The following is a 20,558-nucleotide window of genomic DNA, read 5'->3' on the forward strand; positions in this document are numbered from 1 at the left end:
TGTACTAGTAATATACTAGAAGTTTCATAATAACAGTATTAATAATAGATCAGATCTGAAAACTCAAATGTCCACCAACAGTGGAAATGAATAAATACACTGTAGATTGTACATATGATGGAAAATTCCACAGGAATAAAAATGAATGAACTCATGCTAAATGAAGTAATAAGAATGAATCAAAAGAAGTCAAACACCACGCCTGTAATCCCAGCACTTTGGGAGGCCGAGGCAGGCGGATCACGAGGTCGGGAGATTGAGACCATCCTGGCTAAAACAGTGAAACCCCGTCTCTACTAAAAATACAAAAAAATTAGCCAGGCATGGTGGTGGGCGCCTGTAGTCCCAGCTACTCGGGAGACTGAGGCAGGAGAATGGCGTGAACCCGGGAGGTGGAACTTGCAGTGAGCCGAGATTGCGCCACTGCACTCCAGCCTGGGTGACAGAGCGAGACTCCGTCTCAAAAAATAAATAAATAAATAAATAAATAAATAAATAAAAGAAGCCAAACACAAAAGCATGTGTATTGTAGGATTTCATATATATGAACCTCAAAAAGGTAAAACTAATATGGTGTTAAACGTCAGATGGTGGTAACCTTTCAGGAGGAGGCTGTGGGAGGTACTGAAAAAGGTATGAAGGAGGCTGCTGAGGTGCTGTTTGTCATGTTCTGTTCCTTAATTTTGGTGGTGGTTTCATGGGAATGTTCACTCATTGAACTGTTATATCAGCAGCTATAATTAATGTCCCTTTTCTGTGTCTACGTTGTCCTTCTTTTTTTATTTTTATTTTATTTTTTGTAGAGACAGGTCTCACCATGCTGCCCAAGCTGGACTCGAACTCCTGGCCACAGGCCATCCTCCCACCTCAACCTCCTAAAGTCCTGGGATTACAGGTGTGAGCCACTGTGCCAGGCCTATGTTTCAATATAAAGGCTCATTAAAAAGAATTCCTATGTGCTGACATGGAAAGATGTTTGTAAAACATTAAGTAAAAAATGGCAGACTATCAGAAAATGCAGTCCAGTAATTTTTTAATCAGCTCTTCAGAATATTCTGATGAACTGCCAAGTTTGGGAGCCTCTGGACTATATCCAAGGGCTTTTCCAACCCCAGATTCTGTGATCCATGTATTCACTCAATCCAATATATTTGGAGAGTCTGCATTGGTCTGGGCACCACCCTCAGCATGACAAGGCGTACAAAATGAAACTGGCTGGAATCCTTGGGTTTTCAGGATAGGAGATATTAAACTTAGATAACTCTGAAACTCTGTTTCAAGGCAGAAAATGATTAGCCTCATAAGGCAGAAGCAAATAAACAAAGAGAAATGAGGAAGTTGTTTGGGAAAACATATCTAAAAAACATCGCTGGGAGCGACATCGAACTCTGCCTCCTTAGCTGCTGTATCTGCCACAAATCTGGCCCCTGAACATGTGAGGGACCCGATGTCGGCATCTGCCTCCACTTAATTGCCTGGGTGAGCTCTGGAATAGATAAATTGCAGCAAAGCTTTACACACAACTTTCAGTACATTTTTTGAGAATCCCTGAAGTTGGCAACTTTCTCCTGGACTCTCAACCCACATAGAAATTTCTTTATCACTGGCCTTCATCACCTCATCAGTTTCTTTTCATGTACACTTTTTTTCTTTCCAAATGACTAAGGAAAGTACAGATTGTTTTCACTCACCTGTGCCCTAGATTGACTTTTCCCCTTTAAAGGCTGATACTCCTCAGTAGAGACCTATGTAAGACTTTCTACAACCATCCCAATTCACCCAGCCTCTTCCCCCGTGCAATTGAATGTGTGCCAAGACTCTAGCCGTCAGTCAGTGTCTGTTTAATCTTTTCTTGGAAATGTCTGTTGCTGAAGTTTTCTCACCTTCTGCTTGGTCATGTCTAAGAGACCCACAGAGTATCTGTCACAGTTGAGGAAAGCACGGACTGTGTACAGGGCTTTGTGGAACTGTCGTTCGATGTCCGTAAGTTCTTCAAAGACTTTGCTCCCAGACCACAGCAGTATCTGAAAAAACACAAAAACATATTCATAGGTTTTGAGGTGCAAAGTAGTAGCTCACTTAGCTGGAGAATAACAACAATTCTGTAAAGTTGTCTGGAGTTTATTTCATTTACCCTTCACAATAATCCAGAGAAATAGACAGGTTAACTATCCCCTATTTTTACTTTTAGATTTTTTTAAAGTTTTTAATTTTTTTTTTTGCTTTGGTTGACAGTTTATTAAATACACTACATTTGTACCTTATTCTGTAGTTTTTAAAAATTGTTCACACATGAACTGAGTAAAAACGTACTTTATAGAAAACCAAGTACAAAACTAAAATGAAAGAATGCACTTATTGCACACATATTAAACTGCTGAAATGTTAGAAATTAATCTGTACAAGTACCTAATGAAGAAGGTTATGAAATATTAGGTGGTTCGAGTTTCTCAAATCTGGCAACAGACCATGACTTTGAAAGTGTTAATGTTGAAGTGTTGATGGAAAAATGTCTATTAACAAAACTGCTTACAGTGTTTGAGAAACACGACAAAATAATTGTTTTTCTTTCACAGACATTTTTCTAAATCAATTCTCTACAGACTCTCTCCCATTCAGAATCAGTTGTGTGGACCGATGAGGCAAAAGATGAATTCCTTTTAAAAAACAAAACTGGAGCCTATTTACAAAACATGCAAAAGGAGAATTTTAAGCAGGTGTTACCTCCAGAGTTTCTGGAAGAAATATATTTTCAGGTTGTGGACTATAAAATGGCGTACAATGAAGAGACAGAAACAAAGAAGTTTGCAAATCTTTTATATTTCCAGCTGTTGAGATAATATTTTTGAGAGCTGATGTTACCTCTAGCGGCAAAACCAGAGCCAGCTATTAAGCAGCCAGAAAGCTACAGTAATTGAATACACGACCATTTCTCTTTTAGCACGTTCTTTGTTCTCCTCGTCCGGAAGTTGTAGACGTCTATTTAGTTTGATTATCTGTCGTCTTAGTGAAGCTGCATCTACAACAGTCAGGTCATCTGATGTTCCTTCAATTGTTGTATCTGTATTTGAAATGCCATAAAGAGAATCATTTCTGACCAGCTGTCCATTTTGGCGAACAGCAGTTTCACTCGTAGACCGCTCTCTTTTTAGTCGGCCAACTGCACGGATTTCTTCATTTTGAGGGGTTGTAGGAGGTCTTTCTAAATCCAGAAAATCTAGTGGTCTTTCACTTAGCCTAAGTACACGAGGTGCTGTTTTTAGTGCGAGGAGTTTAAAGGGAGTTGACTGAATAAGGTCAAGATCTGCTGGTCTTGAAAATGAAACATCCTCATTATTTCCTGCTACAACAATCCTCTCTGGAACTTGCATTATTATCACGCTAGCATTTGGAACTCCTTTTTGGAATCCCTGTTCCAGGTTGGCGTTTGGCGGTGCTACTTTTAACTTTTCTGGGACCCTCATTCGCTGACTAATGCCTTCAGTATATTCCATTTCGTACGAATTCGACTAATTTCTGCCATCTCAGCAGCAGTGGGAGAAGGAAATGCTGCCCCACTCACCAAATGTGTACCAACTACTGCTTGCTGTTTGGCACTGTCGGCTTCTGTGCTTCATATTAAATCCTTTAACTTGCTTCAATGTGCATGTGCTGGATTGAGAGACACTTTTGTCCCCCTCCGCCCACAGGAGGGTCCCGGTGAGGACCGCCGCCCTCCGGCTCCCAGGGCGCTCAAGTGGGCGCTCTCAGAGGCAGTTGGCCGAGAGCACGGAGGCGCCCAGGCACAGCACCGGCGGAGTGGCCAGCAGAGGGCCAGGGCAGAAGCGCAAAAGCTAAAGTGTTTGTTTTTATGTATTTATTTTTTAGGGACAGAGTCTTACTCTGTCATCCAGGCTGGAGTACAGTAGCACGATCATAGCTCACTGTAGTCTCCAACTCCCGGGCTCAGGCAATTCTCCCATCTCAGCCTCCCCAGCAGCTGGGACTACAGGTGGACGCCACTGCACACAGATAATCTTTAAATTTTTTGTAGAGATGAGTTTCCACTTCTGGCCTCAAGCAATCCTCCTACCTCAGCCTCCCAAAGTGCTGGGATTATGGGCATGAGCCACCTTACCCAGCCCATTATCATCCATTTATTTTAAAAATTTTATTTTAAAAATAGAGATGGGGTCTTACTATGTTTCCCAGGCTGGTCTCGAACTTCTGGGCTCAAGCAATCTTCCTGCCTTGGCCTCCCAAAGTGCTGGAACTACAGGCGTGAGCCACCATGCCCAGTCCAATTATCTTCCATTTGTAGACAAACAAACTGGGGCTCAGAGAGATGAAGTAACTGGCTGCTTTACATTGGGTCCAGCTCTTTCCCTTTCATTTATCTCATAGGTTTTTAATAAAAATAATAAGAAACTTCAATTGAGCACTATTGCCCTATATGCATTATCTCGTTTACTATTGATGGCAACCTTTTGAGGGTGGCACCATAATCATCCCTATTTTTCAAATGGGGAGACTGAAGCATAGAGAGATTAAGTGACTCACTTAGGGTCTTAGAGCTAGGCAGTGGTTGAGCAGGGATTCAGATCAAAGCCATCTGTCTTGAAGCTTGTGCATATAACCACTGTGGTATACAGCTTTACAGACAACCACTACCTCATAACACTCGTGATGCTGGCCAGAGACTGGCTTCCTAGGCACCTTCATTCCCATCTGCCTGCCAGTCCTGACCACATCAATGCTTCAGGGAAAGGACGAGTCAAGTCCATTCCCTTGGCCCAAGCCCCTTACCTGGCCACGTCGAGTTTCACAGTTGTGCAGGTAACTCAGGTGGTACACCTTCATGATTAGATTTGCAAAATTGAGGTACTTGAGAAGAATCTAAAAATCAAACAGCATGAGGGGAGGCAGGTGAGAAGAAGAAATCCATCCTCTGGCTACTTTTACCATCAGCAAATATCTGAATATTTTCAAAGCTTCATCAGAGACAATTTGGGCAGATGGATCCTAGAATGCAGACTCATAAGATGTTGCATGAGCATAAAACTCACCGAATGTAGAATGTTGATGTTGATGGGAGTGTATTCATGAAAAATAGCTACTATTTATTAATAAGTTCCCTATGAGGTTGATACTGAAAAATTATCAACATTTTACAAATAAGAAAACCAAAGTTCAAAGAAGTTAAATAACTTGCAAAAGGCAAACAGCTATTGGCGGAGCCAGAACAATTATCCCTCTATTCCTGACTCCAAAGCCCAATGTCTTAACTATTATTTTATCCTGCCTCCCTCAGAGAACATCAGGTGAATTCCCTGTCTTACAGATGGGAAAACTGAGGCCAGGTCAAACAGCAAAGTTCAGGGGACTTCATAGGCTGGGAGAATGTGCTAGCATGGCTATCCTTAGTCTCTAAAGCATTCTTACCTCTTCATCTCTCTTGGTGAAGTGGGATCCATCCACTTTATTCACAGCCATGATTATGGCCACCACATCCTTCCCATTCATTATGGGGGAAGCCAAGATGTTCTTGGTCTTGTACTCTGTGAGGATGTCCACAAAGTCACAGAAATGCTCATCCTAAAGGAAGGCAGAGATAAGCACGGACAGGCAAATGAAGAGCAAGAACAGTGGAACGGCCCAAAGCCCCTGTTGACAAGGGAATAAAGGTGCTTCCATCTATTCCTCTTCAACAGGGGCAGGGAAATCAGAGATGACATCTGTCATGGAAGCTTCCAAAATCCAGTAGAAGAAGAAAGTCTGAGATGAAATCCACTGAGGGCTGTGGAGGAGAGGTGTGCAAAGCAGTGTGGGTTCCAGGGATGGGAGTGGGGGACTGACTTTGCCTGGAGAAGGAGGGTTAGAGAAGGCTTTCTTGAGGTGATGACAATTAAGCCCAGAATAAAAACCCAGGGTACAGCTAAGAGGAAGCCGGGTAAAGACTTTAGGAAGTACAACGACAGTTGCTAGCAGGCAGCGTGCATGGCATTTTACCTGCGTTATCTTACTTTTATCTTCGCAATAAGCTATGAGATAAGTACCATCAGTAGCCCATCTTACAGAAGGGGGATCTGTAACTCAAGAAGGTTAATGTCATGTGTGTAGATTGTGTAGACTGTGTGTGTGAGTGTGTGTGTGTGTGTGTATGTGTAACTCCAGAGCCTGCCTTCAGCTCTGCTGCCTCTTAGAGAAGCCTGGATAAGGTTAGACTTGGGTCTAGGTCATTGAACAAAAGAATTTGTTATTTTCAGCTTTTTAAACAATCCAGTTCTAGCACCACACAACCAGTTCAGTAGATATCCCCATTCTACGAATCTTAGTAGAAACCCCACTATGTGTCAGGCCTTATGTTAAGCACGGGGGATATGGGTGACCAAGGTTCAGGCCAGCTCAAAGAAAAATCAATAATAGTAATGTAGGTCACAAGGGATTGGCTTGAAGCTCTGAGTGTATAGAGGAGCACACACCTCCATAAACCTCCCCTAATGCAGCCCAGAGAAGCCATTATAGGCTGTGGTGGACCATGCGGTCAGGATGAAAAGACAGAGCTTGAATTGTTCTCTTAAATTTACAAGAATCCTCCTTTCTGTTTATTGGTAGCACTGTGAGGTTTTTGGACTGTCAGCATTGCTTGGGAGGCGGGCCAGCCCAAACATGCTCAGCTCACGCCGTTCTGAGTGGAAATGTACTTCATAGAGCCAATTCACAGAACTTTTCTAAAACTAAGTCTGGGCCAGGCGTGGTGGTTTACGTCTATAATCCCAGCACTTTGGAAGGCCAAGGTGGGAGTATTGCTTGCGTTCAGTAGTCCAAGACCAGCCTGGGCAACATAGCAATATCTTGTATCTACTAAAACTCAAAAAAAATTAGCCAGGTGTGGTGACATGTGCCTGTAGTTCCAGCTACTCAGGAAGCTGAGGCAGGAGGATTGCTTGAGCCCAGGAGTTGGAGGCTGCAGTGAGCTATGATTGTACCATTGCACTTTACCCTGGGTGACAGAGCAAGACCCTGTCTCTAAAAAAGGAAGGAAGGAAGGAAGGAAGGAAGGAAGGAAGGAAGGAAGGAATTCAGAGCATAATGCTCTGCATCTATAGATTTCTTCTAGTTGGAATGGGATTAAATAAATAGTCAACAGCATTATTATCAGTGAAGCTGTTTAAAACCAGGTGAAGGGTAAAGGAATTAAGAGAAGCTTGTAGTGCTGTACTTGAATTAACATTTGAGGATTAAGCAAAATCTCTAAAAAGGCATTAGTCAAGAAGTGGTATCTGTGTCATTTTCTAAGCTACTGATGAGTTCCTGAGCACGTGTCTAGGTGGAGTATGCTCAGATTCATTTCATGAAGTCATTTCAGTTTCCCAATGTTCACTTCTTTCAGGAAAAGCAAATATTTGGGCCTCACCTGCATCCAAGGCAGATGCTACCAAATCCACCAGAAAGCTCATTCCCACTGGGTACTCAGTCCTGGAACTCCCCTCATGAGTACTTCAACTGCCAATTGACTGGCATTTACATGATCATTATCATCCCTATATATTCAGCATATAAAGTGTTCTAAACAACCATGTCACAGAATCTCAGATTATCAAAGGCAGAAGGAGACTTAGAAGCCATTTAGCTCAAACTAGTAAAAGTAATGGCAAGAACCACGATTACTTTTGCACCAACTTATATTTATTTTAAATCCTAGAATCAGAGGCTGAGCTAGGGAAAGACCAAAGTGATTCATCCATTCAGTTAGCATTATCAGAGTGTCTTCCATATGCTAGGCACTCTTCCAGACCCTGAAACTACAGCAATGAACATTACTGTTGTAATATAAGGTGAACCTTACATTCAAACGGCGAGACAGACAAAAAAGCAAGTAAACAACTAGGCATTCTTCCTCCAACTTGAGGAAACTGCTTTGAAGGAAATGGACTGGATGGTGCTGTAGAGAGTGATGAAAGGGATGGCAGGCTGGTGGGTAGGGAGCCTTCTCTGAAGATGTAATGCTGAGCTAAGAGCTGAAGGATCAAGGGAGCCAGGTATATGAAGCACATTCTAAGCACGGAGCATGCAAAGGCCAGCAGGTAGGAATGAGGCTGGTCCTCGTGAGGAACAGAAAGAAAATCAGTGTAGCTAAAGCATAGAGAGGGAGAGGGAAAGCAGAGGGCAAGGAAGTTAAAGAGGCAGGCAGGGGCCAGATCCAGCAGGGCTTTGGAGGCCATGGGAAAGAGTTTTGATTTCATTTTTATGTATTCACTTATTTATTTTTGAGACAGAGTCTTGCTCTGCCATCCAGGCTGGAGTGCAGTGTAGCCATCATGGCTCACTGCAGCCTCGACCTCCTGAGCTCAAGCCATCCTCCCACCTCAGCCTCCAGAGAATCTGAAACAACAGGGGCGTACCACCATGCCCGACTAATTTTTGTATTTTTTGTAACACTAGGATTTTGCTGTGTTGCCCAGGGTAGTCCTGAACACCTGGGCTCAAGTGATCCTCCCACCTCGGCCTCCCAAAGTGCTGGGGTTACAGGTGTCAGCCTGCACCTGGCTGAGTTTGGATTTTAAAGTGCAATGCAACACTACTTCTCATTCCCAGATTCCTCATTTCCCCTTTGCAAACATTCACAGTGCCAAGCTCTGTTGCATCTCATGATGAGATCTACTATTTACTGAGTAATAATGACTAGGCTCAGAGCCAGACAACTGACATATATTATCTCATTAACTCTCACATCAGCCCTGCCAAATAGAACTGCCACCTTTCCCATTTTATAGACAACTCCCTTGCTGGTAAGTGGCACAGTTGCTCCACTTATTCATTCATTGACTTATTCATTGATTCACTGATTGACAGATTGATTCATTCATATTCATTGAGCACTCACTATGCCAGGCATTGTATATGCAAAGACCTGTAAGATGAGGTTGTTCTCAGTGGGTTCTCATGGTATAGTGGAATGTCATGCAAAACATGAGCCCACGACTCAAAGCATGTGAAGCAGACCACGCTGGGGACCCAGATAAGGAGAAACTTGTCCTATGAGTGGCTTCAAGGGCCACTCAGTACATTGTCAGTAGTTGAAAACACTCTGAACCTCAATTTCCCCTTTGCTGAAGTCAGAGTATTGAATAAGGTCCTCTGTGAAGGTTTTTTTTTTCTTTGTTTTCCTGTTCTAGCCTGCTAGGTCTCAGGTCTCATGGGAAATGAAGGAAAGCAGGGGCAGATAACAAATGTGAGAGGGTCTACAAATGACGGTCATCTCAGGTACAGCCTTCAGAAATGGAATTTATTAGCCAGAGGAAGTGCTGGTGAAGGGCTGACATTTAGTCATTCACTCACTCAATAAACTATGGTAAGTATGCACTCTGTCCAAGACACTGGGCTAGGTGCCAGGGGCCAGTGGTGAATAAGATCGACAGGGACAGACAGACAGACCTCATGGGTTTTCCTGCCAGGAGAAAGGGCAAAGGAATGATATACAAGTAAATATTGAATGGCAAGTGGGCCTTCCCAATGAAATTTGAATTTCAGATAAACTATAAATAATTTTTTAGTGTAACTGTGTCCAAAATATTGCACAGGATCTTCTTTAACTAAAATATCATTCTTTGTTTATCTAAAATTCAAACTTTACTGGGCATCTTATATTTTTTCTGGCAGTCCTGTGGCAAATCTTCCCAAGGCAATTCCCAAGATAAGTAGGAATTTGGAGGGGGTGGGGAAGTTCATTACAGCCCAAAAGAACTACCTTTGTGATTTCGCATTTCAACAATGCAGCAATTGCAACCATTTCTCAGGTTTTTGGAGGGTGCTAAAGGTTGAGAGTATCACTTTTTGGTGGTCCAGAAAGAATCTAGACCCCTGTCTACACCACCTTCCTTCTCCTTCACCCAGCCCCAGTCACTGTTTGGTGGCGAAGGTTGCATTCTGCCACTGGGGCCCAAGGTTGCATTCTGCCCAGGGCCATGAATTGAGTAAGATTTCCTGAAGTAAACACGTGCAAATACCAAGTACGCAGGGATGACTGGCCTAGACAGACTTCACCCACAGGCCCAAGTCACTGGCCAGGGACACTGACTCAGGCCCCAAAAGTTTCCAGGGAAGGTGAGGTGTGGTTTCCTGGGTAAACTCTGACGGATGAACAGAAAGCAACAGGCCGTCCCTTAGCACAGAGGCTCCAAAAACTGTTAAGTCAGGATCTTCTAGACTCAGAAAAACACCCTGAATCCTCAATCCCTTAACACCAAGGTATAGAGAAGCTCTCAGCATTTATGTTCTCTGTTTTCCCACAAACAGAATCTAAACTGAAAGCTCCAGAAGGGCAAGACTGGATTCTTCTCCAAATTCCACTCAAACCTGGTACAGCATCCATCACTTAGAATAGATCCTTAACAACGACAACAATAACAGTAGCAAAATGGTCGTAATAGTAATAAGGAACGGGAGCTGCCAATAGGAGCCATTACGGTGTGCCAAGAACACTGCTGATGAGATAATTCATTCATTTAATTTCTACAACAATGCTGTGGGGTAGCTCTTATTTCCCCATTTTATAAAATAGGAAATAAACCCAGTCAAGCTAAACGATTTGCCAAGGCCACATTCTTTGAAAGTGACAGAGTCCTGGTTCACATCCAGATCTCACCTTAAAGCATAAGATCTTAACTCTCTGCTACATGATCCAATGACCTTGCTCAAATACCCAGTGCGATGCCCTCATTTTATAGAGGAGGAGGGAGTACAGAATAGCAGAGCAATTAAGAGGAATTAAGGCTCTGTAACGACTCCCTGGCTGAACCAACTAGTTAAAAAAAAAAAAAAAGATTGTGAGCTCAAGGTCAGAATGCCTGAGTTCAAATCATTCCCAGTCTGCCACTTTTTTTTTTCTTTCCTTTTTTCTTTTTTTAGGCTAGTCGAGTGAAGCAGTAGGAGTGGAGGGGGAACAAAGAAATCTATAACTGGCTGTGATCAATTAGTTATAAACACCTGTGTACTTGAACCAGCCAGGATCTGCCACTTTCTATCTGCATAATCCTGAGCAAGTTACCAAAACTTTCTGGGTTTCTGTTTCATCATCTGTGAAACAGAGATAATGACAGTTATGACATAGATCGTTATGAGGGGAAACGAGTGAGGCAATCCTTGTTGGCTACAATTACAGTTAGAAGAGTTGAAGGGAGAATAGACTCCAGTCCAGTTGGATGAGTCCTCCGGAAAGTCTCCTGAGTGGAGAACCATTGCCCGGCCCCTGGATGCCCAAGAGGAGATGACGGGAGCCATGCGCCCATGTGGGAGCCCACCGGGTATGCTTTCCACAGAGGCACAAGTCTGGCTTATCTCACTAAGGAGCCCAAGACCAAAAGATACCTGTTTGAATCCTTTTTTTTTTGGAGACAGTTTTGCTCTTGTTGCCCAGTCTGGAGTGCAATGGTGCGGTCTCGGCTCACTGCAACCTCCACCTCCCAGGTTCAAATGATTCTCCTGCCTCAGCCTCCCGAGTAGCTGGGATTACAGGCATGCACCCCCAGGCCCAGCTAATTTTTGGATTTTTAGTAGAGATGGGGTTTCACCATGTTGGCCAGGCTGGTTTCAAATTCCTGACCTCAAGTGATCTGCCTGCCTCGGCCTCCCAAAGCACTGGGATTACAGGTGTGAGCCACTGCGCCCGGCCTACCTGTTTGAATTCTTGCATTCATGCATGTGGAGCATTGGCAAGCCTCTGCCCACACTCTCCTAGGTTTAGTTTCCTTGTCTATTAAATAAGGCAGTTGGATAAGACAGTCTCTGAAGCCCCCTTCCTCTCCTATTTTTAACCTTAAGATGCTTAATCTGAAGTAACTCCAGAGGTAAAATGAGCACAAAATCACACCATGTCCAAAGGCTGGATTTTGGAAATGCCGGAACACAGCTCCTGGTTTGGCCAGTGTAGGAGTGAATAAGACCCGCATGGGCCCTGCCGTAATGGGACAAACATTCTTCTGGGTGAGACAGTGTTAAAGAAATTATTGCATAATTACTTGATTGTGAGTCTTTTACACCAAGTGCTTACCAAGCACATGCTTTGTGCCAGACACTGTGCTGGGTCCTGGAGTAAAAGCCTGGTGGACAAGGCAGACCTGGTCCCTGACCTCCAGGGCTTATTATGAGAAATGGCTTAGGGAGGGGGCTATAACAGGGAGATTAGAAAGGGCCTCCCTGAGGAAGGGTGACTTTTTCTGAAGGATGAGTAGGAGTTGGCCTGGGCAGAGGGCTATGTGGAGAACTGCATTACTGCCTTTAAAAACCAACATCCAGAGAGGGGGAGTGATTTGCCCAAGGTGATCAAAGAAGTCTTTGTCAGAACCACCAGGAGAATCTCAGGGAACAGTGGATCCTGGAAGAAAGAGCCAAGTGTTTAACCAAGTGATCAGTGTTTACACTTCCAGTAATGGGACAGACTGCCATTGTGCCTCCGCATGTAAAGCACAAAGAAAAACACATCACCTCTGTGCTGCTCCTGCCGGAAATGTGTGACCTGCATCTAATTATGAAGAAATATCAGACAAGCCCAAATGAAAGGACATTTCTGCAAAAGATTTGATTTGTACCCTTCAAAAATGTCAGCACCGTGGAAAACAAAGACAGACTGAGGAACAGTCCCAGATTCAAGGAGACTCAAAAGACAGCGCTACATCGGTGTCTGAGACAACTGACAGAAACTGAATATGAACTGTTTATTAGATCATGGTGTTGCATCTTTTTTTTCTTTATTTTTTAGCAATTTTTTTCTTTTTTCCTTTTCACCCAGCCGATTGGATGGTAGCTTTCCTTTCCTTGCCTTGCCTTGCCTTTCTTTTCCTTTCCTTTCCTTTTCTTGACAGGGTCACACTCTGGCACTCAAGCTGGAGTGCAATGGCGCAATCATGGCTCACTGCAGCCTCAACCTCCTGGGCTCAAGTGATGCTCCCATCTCAGCCTCCAGAGTAGACAGGACCACAGGTGTGCACCACCACACCCAGCGAGTTTTTTTATTTTTTGTAAAGACAGGGACCTCCCTGTGTTGCCCAGCCTGGTCTCAAATTTCTGGGCTCAAGTGGTCTTCCCACCTCAGCCTCCCAAAGTGCTGGGATTACAGGTGTGAGCCATCACACCCAGCCTTTTTTCATTTTTTCCTCTTCATTACGGTTCTTGCTATATTGCCCAGGCTGGAGTGCAGTGTCTATTCACAGGTGCAATCCCACTACTAACCAGCATGAGAGTTTGACCTGTTCCCTTTCTGACCTGGGCTGGTTCACCCCACCTTAGGCAGCCTGGTGGTCCCTTACTCCTGGGAAGTCACCATATTGATGCTGACCACAGGTGTGAACTGAAGGGGGCCAGCCCCTCCATGAGAAATACCTGGGTATTTCTCGTCAGGTGGGATGAGAGACTGAGGAAAGAAATAAGACACAGAGACAAAGTCTAGAGAAAGAGCAGTGGGCCCAGGGGACTGGCACTCAGCATATGGAGGACCCGTGCCAGCACTGGTCTCTGAGTTCCCTCAGTATTTATTGATCACTATCTCTACTATCTAGGTGAGGGGGATGTGGCAGGACTATAGGGTAATGGTGGGGAGAGGTTCAGCGGGAAAACATGTGAGCAAAGGTCTCTGTGTCATAAGTTTAAGAAAAGGTGCTGTGCCTTGATGTGCACGGAGGCCAGGTTTATGTTTGACTTTACACAAGCATCTCAGTGCAGTAAAGAGCAGTATTGCCACCAGCATGTCCCACCTCCAGCCATAAGGCAGTTTTCTCCTATCTCAGTAAATAGAACATATGATTGGGTTTTACACCGAGACATTCCATTCCCAGGGACAAGCAGGAGACAGATGCCTTCCTCTTATCTTAACTGCAAAGAGGCCTTCCTCTTTCACTAATCCTCCTCAGCATAGACCCTTTACGGGTGTTGGGCTGGGGGATGGTCAGGTCTTTCCCTTCCCATGAGGCCATATCTCAGGCTGTCTCAGTGGGGAGAAACCTTGGACCATACCCAGGGTTTCTTGGGCAGAGGTCCCTGCGGCCTTCCGCAGTGCATTGTGTCCCTGGGTACTCGAGACTGGAGAATGGCGATGACTTTTACCAAGCATACTGCCTGCAAACACATTTTTAACAAAGCACATCCTGCACAGCCCTAAATCCATTAAACCTTGAGTCAACACAGCACATGTTTCTGCAAGCACAGGGTTGGGGCTAGGGTTACAGATTAATAGCATCTCAAGGCAGAATAATTTTTCTTAGTACAGAACAAAATGGAGTTTCTTATGTCTTTTTCTTTCTACATAGACACAGTAACAGTCTGATCTCTCTTTCTTTCCCCCACAGTGCACTACCACATCCAGCTAATTTTAAAATTTTTTGTAGAGACAGGAGTCTCCCTATGTTGCACAAGCTGGTCTCAAACTCTTGGGCTCAAGTGATTCTCTTGCCTCAGCCCTCCGAGTAGATGGGACTACAGGCATGTGCCACTACTCCCAGCAGATAATGGTGTCGTATCCACATTACATTTCTATGATTCCGTCATTGTACTGTGGATAGGTAAGAAATGTCCTTGTTCTGGAAGTACTGTGGAGGTATTGTGGAGGTACTGTGTGGAAGTACTGTGGAAGTACTGTGGAGGTACTGTGGAGGTACTGTGGAAGTACTGTGTAGAAGTACTGTGGAAGTACTGTGTATTTCCAGAACAGGGACATTTCTTACCTATCCACAGTACAATGATGGGAGCATCGCCAGTACTTACAGACAAAGGGCATGATGTCTGCAACTTTCTCCCAAATGGGTCAGAGAAAATGGAGAGAGAAAGCAAATGTGGCAAGATGTTAATGAATGATAAATTTGGATGAAAGACATACAGTTCTCTGTATTATTTCAAACTTTTCTGTTAAGTTTGAATTTTTTTTTCAAAATAAAGAATTATGAGTAAATATGTAAATAAATAAAGAAGAAGCACCATGTTGTCACCAGCCTTGTCTTGGTGGCCAATGCCCCTCACCCCACCTGTACCCCAGAACTCCATGTAATAATGCCCCATGCCCTCTCTCTCATGGGGAAGAGAGTACCTCCTCTGTGTTGGGGACGTTAGCAATCTTCTTAGAGTGTGCGACATGGCCCACGATGCCCATGTCCAAAGGGAAGACGATCTCTTGGTCGGGCATCACCAGGCAGTCCTCGAGGACAGCATCCTTGTGGACATTGAAAAGCCTGGTGGCCAGCTCTGCGATGCCATTGCGGGTCCGGTACATGAACAGGCTCATGCGGTCTGCCTGCAGGAGGAAGCACAGCTTCTTCATGACATTGAAGATGCATTTCTCTGTCTGTAAATTCTCCTGAAAGTCCCGCAGGAGATCAAAGATGATTTCGCTCTCCTCCATGCTGCTCGGGGAGTGGTAGTTGCTGAAGTCCACGGCAGCCTCCTTGGCCCCAAGGAGGTCGGAGATGAGCTTGGCCCGGTAGTGGAGGTTGTAGTACTGTTTGGCAAAGCCAATATTCGAGTCCAGGAACTTCTCCACCTCCTCTGCTGTCACCTCGCCCATGGCTGGGAATCCCACTGGCTACTCTGTAGAAGGACTGGGACGGAGGCCTTCCAATGGCAGTTTTGCAGTCTGCAACAAGTCCAGTCTGGACTTCTCTGGGTCTTGTCTGCAAAACATACTGAGATGGCCTGCACAGGAGAGGGAGCAAGCTTGGGAGATTAAGTCATTAATATTTCTCAAGAACAAGGATTATGAGGATCAGTGTGTTCCAGATGCTGTGGGGCCAGATGGGAGAAGGTGAGAGTTTTCTTTCACCTTGGTCTAGTAAGAGCAAAGAAGAGATGTCTGCACAGAGCAGGAGGTGGGCTTGAGCACTGCCAAAGCAGGGGTTGCAAAAAGGCAGCACAGGGACAGTCTACTTGCTGTAGGTGTGTCTTCTCTGACCTCTGTTAGTTTTCTTAAATATCTGACACAGAAGACTGACATTTACTGTTTAGGAGATTTGTTTGGCTTCTCTGTCCACATTCCCCCATGGCGGGAATGGCTGAAGCTGAGAAATGACTGCCTGCCAGCCTCTGCATCCCCCCGGCCCCTTGCCTCATCCTTCCACTCCCCTTCCCAAGGGCTTCTCCCATGTGGGCTTTCAATGTGCAGGGCCCCTCGGCCTACTGTCCTCATGTACATTATGGATCTGGTATGTGTAGTCTCCCATGTCACAATCTTTGCACTAAAGTTTTTATCAGCTTTAGATTTCAATGACTCTAATTTTGGCAACCTAAGGGCCCTTATAAAACAACACACCTTTCAGGTTTTCCTTTATTCCAAAAGTAATACATATTATAGTCACTGTTGAACATACACAAAGAAGACAATTAAAATCACCCATAATCCTGTTACTCAGAGGCAACCTTTAGTTAACATTTTATTTTTAACCTGTAGTTAATTCTACCCATTTCACAGAGCCTTAACTTTAAAAATCTGTTTCCCTTCAACCCACTCCAACTTTCTCTTGGTGCTTTAATGTGTTCTTTTCTGGTTTCAGCCTGTAATTTCTTGGGTTGTCTGTCAGAAATACACACAAGGGGCTGGGTGCAGTGGCTCACGCCTGTAATCCCAGCACTTTGGGAGGCCAAGGTGGGTGGATCACCTGAGGTCAGGAGTTTGAGACCAGCCTGGGCAACAGGGTGAAACCCCATCTCTACTACAAATACAAAAATTAGCAGGGCATAGTGGCACTGCCTGTCATCCTAGCTACGCGGGAGCCTGAGGCAGGAGAATCGCTTGAACCCAGGAGGCAAAGTTGCAGTAAGCCAAAATTGCGCCATTGTACTCCAGCCTGGGCGACAAGACCTAGACTTTGTCTCAAAAAGAAAAAAAGAAAAGGAAAGAAAGAAATACACACAATGGTCCACATTCTAGCAACTCCAGTGAATCTTGAAATACCAGAATCTTCATTAAAATGCCCTTCCTGCCCACTAGGAAGGAGACAGAGCACTTTTCTTTCTGGATGAAACTTACTTTAGCTTCCATGACTATATCCACTATAGCCTGGCACCTCTATGTTGTAAACTATGTGGAACGCATAATTATAGACAGTTGCTAGCACTTTGAACTTCAAAAATGACCTTTACTGGGAAGCAGATTGCCTCCTTTATTGTAGAGTGTAATAAATTCTTGGGGCACTGCACTCATCCAGCAGTGTGCACGAGTGCTCACCCCCCAATCTGGCAGGCTGTGTAGCAGCACAAACCTTCCAGACACTCCCATCATAAGGAACTGGAACTCTCTAACCTAATGCGCTTTCTCAGCTCTCTGCATGCCATCTCCTTCTTAACTTCCAGATTTCAGGTCATACAGGTCATCTCTAGTTTTCTTATCCCAAGTAGCCCCCAAATACCCTCTCCCCGGTTTCTGCCTGTCATATCAGCCTATTTATTTTTTCTATTACATTTATTACTATCAGCAATTATCATGTTTGTTTTTGTTTCCTTGTCCTATTGTCTGGCCTCCCACTATACTGTGAGCTTCATGAGGGCAGGGACCTGTCAGTGTTGATTCCCTAGGCCTTGCAAGGGTGCCTGACACATCCTTGGTATTCAGTATTGTGATATTGTGATACATGTATTTGGTCTTCAACACCATTTCCAGGTAACACAACTTCTAAAATCCTTAGAATCTCCAGAGTGATGTATTTTTGTATACCAATGATTGACCAGTGCCTGGTAATCCCTAGGTAGCTTCAGGCTGAGGGGCTGGTCACCTGAAAGACTAAACCACAATTAGAGGATGGGACTTTCAGCCCATCCTCCAACCTCCAAGAAGGGGAAAGGGGCCTGAAGCTTTAGTTGATCATCAGTGGCCAATGGTTTAATCAATCTTGCCTGTGTAATGAAGCCTCCATAAAAATCCAAAAGGACAGGGCTCAGATGAGCTTCTGGACAGCTGAACACAAGGAGGTTCCTAGAAGGTGGCAAGCCCAGGGACCGTGCAAGCCCAGAGTCCCTTCCCTAACACCTCACCCTATGCCTCTCTTCATCTGTATCCTTTGTGATATCCTTTATAATAAGCCAGTAAAGGTTAGTAAATTTCCTTGAGTTCTGTGAGCCACTCTAGTAATTAATTGAACCCAAAGAGGGTGTCATGGGAACCCCAACTTGAAACTGGCTGGTCAGAAGTTCTGCAGGCCCAAAGGCGAGGCACAGGGGAACAGTCTTGTGGGACTGAGCTCTCAACCTATGGGATCTGAGGCTATCTCCAGGTAGAAAATGTCAGGATTTAATTGAATTAGAAGATCCAAGTGAGTTGGGCTATACCTATACTATTCAAGAGGCTGAGGCGGGAGGATTACTTGAGCCCAGAAGTTGGAGGCCAGCTAGTGGTCTCCTCTCGAATAATAACAGGTCAATCCTGCTTAGCTACCAAGATCAGGAGACATCAGACACATTCAGGGTGGCAGGGCTATGAACTCTATATCATGAAAACCTTTCAAAGGTATTTCCTTTTTTTTTTTTTTTTGACAGGATCTCACTCTGTCAGCCAGGCTAGAATGCAGTGGCGTGATCTCGGTTCACTGCAACCTCCACCTCGGGGACGTAAGCGATCCTCCCACCTCAGCCTCCTGAGTAGCTGGGACTGAAGGTGTGCACTACCATGCTCAGCTAATTTTTGTATTTTTCATAGAGCTAGGGGTCTCACTATGTTGCCCAAGCTGGTCTTGAACTCCTGGACTGAAGTGGTCCACACGCCTCAGCCTCCCAAAGTGCTGGAATTACATGCATGAGCCACTATGCCCAGCCTGTCCCATTCATTTTAATGATTGCAAAGCATTTCACTGTATGGAGGTACCAGAACACCACAGTACTACCGTCCACAGCCAGGTTTCTCAACCTTGACACTATCAGCATTTTGGGTCCAGTAATTCTTTGTTGTGGGAGGCTGTCCTGTACGTTGCAGGATGTTTACTCTAATTTCTACCGCTAGATACCAATAACACCCACCTCAAGTTGTAACAACCAAAAATATCTCCAGAAATTTCCAAATCGCCCCAGTTGAGAACCATTATCCCATAGTTAGATATTTAGGTTGTTTCTAATTTCCTAATATTAGAAACAATGTTGTAATGAACATCCTTATATTTCTTAGTAGAAAATACCTAGAAGTGAAATTCCAGGTCCAAAGAGTGTGCAGCTGTCTAAGGAGTTTGATAAATAATGCCAAATTTTGTCTCCAAGGCTTTACCAGTGTGAATGACAGTGTCTGTCCCTAACCCTTAACCCACCCCTCAACAACATCCTGTTGCCTAGTAAATTAAACACTTTTTCTTAATCCTGGCATTAATAGCTCTCTAGAATTTGTCCCCAACACTTCTTATTTTGTTTTCCACAATTTCTCTACACATATTCCAAGCTTCACCCTAATGTTTTCATTCTTTTTCGGTTTTGCCTCTTCATTCTTGCTGTGCCCTCCACCTGTCCCTTACCACCCTGTCCGAATGTCATTACTTCTGTTGATTCTTCTTTGATGTACCAACTAAACTCTTTTTCTACTCACAACTCCCAAACTATTGGTTTCCTTCCATTCTAAGGGGAGTTTCTACATTTCAGGTTGTGTTATTTCTGCACACCTGTACTTTCATCAAGGACAAACTCCTTGAACTATAGAAGTAAAACTTGGCCCATTTTAAAATGTCTCCTAGAGCCAGGCATGATGGCTCATACCTGTAATTCCAACTACTCAGGAAGCTAAGGCTGGAGGATCACTTGAAGCCAGGAGTTTTAGGCTGCAGTGAGTTATGATCATGCCACTGCATTCCAGCTTGAGCGAATGAGACCCTGTCTTTAAAAAGAGATTTCCCAAAGAGCTCAGCACATGTCCTTTTCCGTAGCATGTCCACCAGAACCACCAAGTTCTGGTGAGAAATAGAAGCAACAGTTTGCCAAAAAATCTACTTTTATCTCATTTTTCAACATGCCAGAATGAGGAAGGCAAGGCTGTTGAAAAACTTCAGTCTAATTGCTAGGTAGGTACAAATAAGTTGGTATTTGGAGTGAGTCACCTAACGCCTAACACTAACTTATGAAATGGACCTGATTTCAGACGTCAGGGAAGAAACTGGTAATCTGAAGCTTCTTTTATTGGCAATAGGGGCTACCAGTAGAGTTTGGGGAGATGTCTTGTGTAATCTAGTTTAGAAAAGTGCATGTACTACTAGAAAGAGGAATACGAGATTTTAGGTCCAGCAATGCCAACGACTCATTTTGTAACTTTGAGAAAGTCCCATCCTCTCTCAAGGCTTTGATTTCCCTATCAACAAAACAAAGGAGTTGAATAATTTATCTTTAATACTCCCAGTTCTGTGACTCCAGGTGGGCTTTGAATGAGGGAGGCCATCGTATTTGCTGTGTTGTACAGCCATCACCACTAATTCCAGAAAATTCCCGTCAACCCCACAAGAAACGTCATACCTATTAGCAATCAGTCCAACCTTACTTCTCCCACTATCCCCTGGTAAGCTCTAATCCAGTTTCTCTCTCTATGGGTTTGCCTATTCTGGACATTCATATAAATGGATTTATACAATATGTAGCTT

At 44.2% G+C, this 20,558-nt stretch overlaps 1 protein-coding gene and 1 pseudogene across 3 annotated transcripts in view, besides 4 other annotated features; both read right to left on the reverse strand.

Annotated features, from left to right (window-relative positions):
- Positions 1-15,649, reverse strand: part of PDE6A (phosphodiesterase 6A) — an 86,841-nt gene extending 71,192 nt beyond the window's left edge. The window contains exons 1-4 of one of the 2 annotated variants that reach the window (NM_000440.3): positions 15,056-15,649; positions 5,422-5,574; positions 4,786-4,875; positions 1,884-2,024 (exon numbers count right to left, since the gene is read on the reverse strand). In NM_000440.3, coding sequence (NP_000431.2) covers positions 1,884-2,024; positions 4,786-4,875; positions 5,422-5,574; positions 15,056-15,529 — 858 coding nt within the window. In that variant the 5' untranslated portion in view covers positions 15,530-15,649. The remainder of the gene's footprint in view (positions 1-1,883; positions 2,025-4,785; positions 4,876-5,421; positions 5,575-15,055) is intronic. The other variant, NM_001410788.1, reaches the window with a different exon arrangement.
- Positions 2,214-3,833, reverse strand: MFFP2 (MFF pseudogene 2; annotated as a pseudogene). Its single transcript, NR_110534.1, has one exon. The product of NR_110534.1 is annotated as an MFF pseudogene 2 (transcript).
- Positions 9,464-9,965: an enhancer, noted in NCBI's record as "H3K4me1 hESC enhancer chr5:149318171-149318672 (GRCh37/hg19 assembly coordinates)". NCBI's record gives its function as "activates a minimal SCP1, AML or CMV promoter by ChIP-STARR-seq in naive H9 embryonic stem cells {active_cell/tissue: H9 hESC(naive)}" and the evidence as "EXISTENCE:reporter gene assay evidence [ECO:0000049][PMID:30033119]".
- Positions 9,966-10,465: an enhancer, noted in NCBI's record as "H3K4me1 hESC enhancer chr5:149318673-149319172 (GRCh37/hg19 assembly coordinates)". NCBI's record gives its function as "activates a minimal SCP1, AML or CMV promoter by ChIP-STARR-seq in primed H9 embryonic stem cells {active_cell/tissue: H9 hESC(primed)}" and the evidence as "EXISTENCE:reporter gene assay evidence [ECO:0000049][PMID:30033119]".
- Positions 10,962-11,256: a silencer, noted in NCBI's record as "tiled region #12514; HepG2 Repressive non-DNase unmatched - State 23:Low". NCBI's record gives its function as "represses a minimal TATA promoter and a strong SV40 promoter by Sharpr-MPRA in HepG2 cells {active_cell/tissue: HepG2}" and the evidence as "EXISTENCE:reporter gene assay evidence [ECO:0000049][PMID:27701403]".
- Positions 10,962-11,256: an enhancer, noted in NCBI's record as "tiled region #12514; K562 Activating DNase matched - State 5:Enh". NCBI's record gives its function as "activates a minimal TATA promoter and a strong SV40 promoter by Sharpr-MPRA in K562 cells {active_cell/tissue: K562}" and the evidence as "EXISTENCE:reporter gene assay evidence [ECO:0000049][PMID:27701403]".

This window comes from Homo sapiens, chromosome 5 (genome assembly GCF_000001405.40).
Source record: "Homo sapiens chromosome 5, GRCh38.p14 Primary Assembly".
NCBI classification, from domain to species: Eukaryota; Metazoa; Chordata; class Mammalia; order Primates; family Hominidae; genus Homo; species Homo sapiens.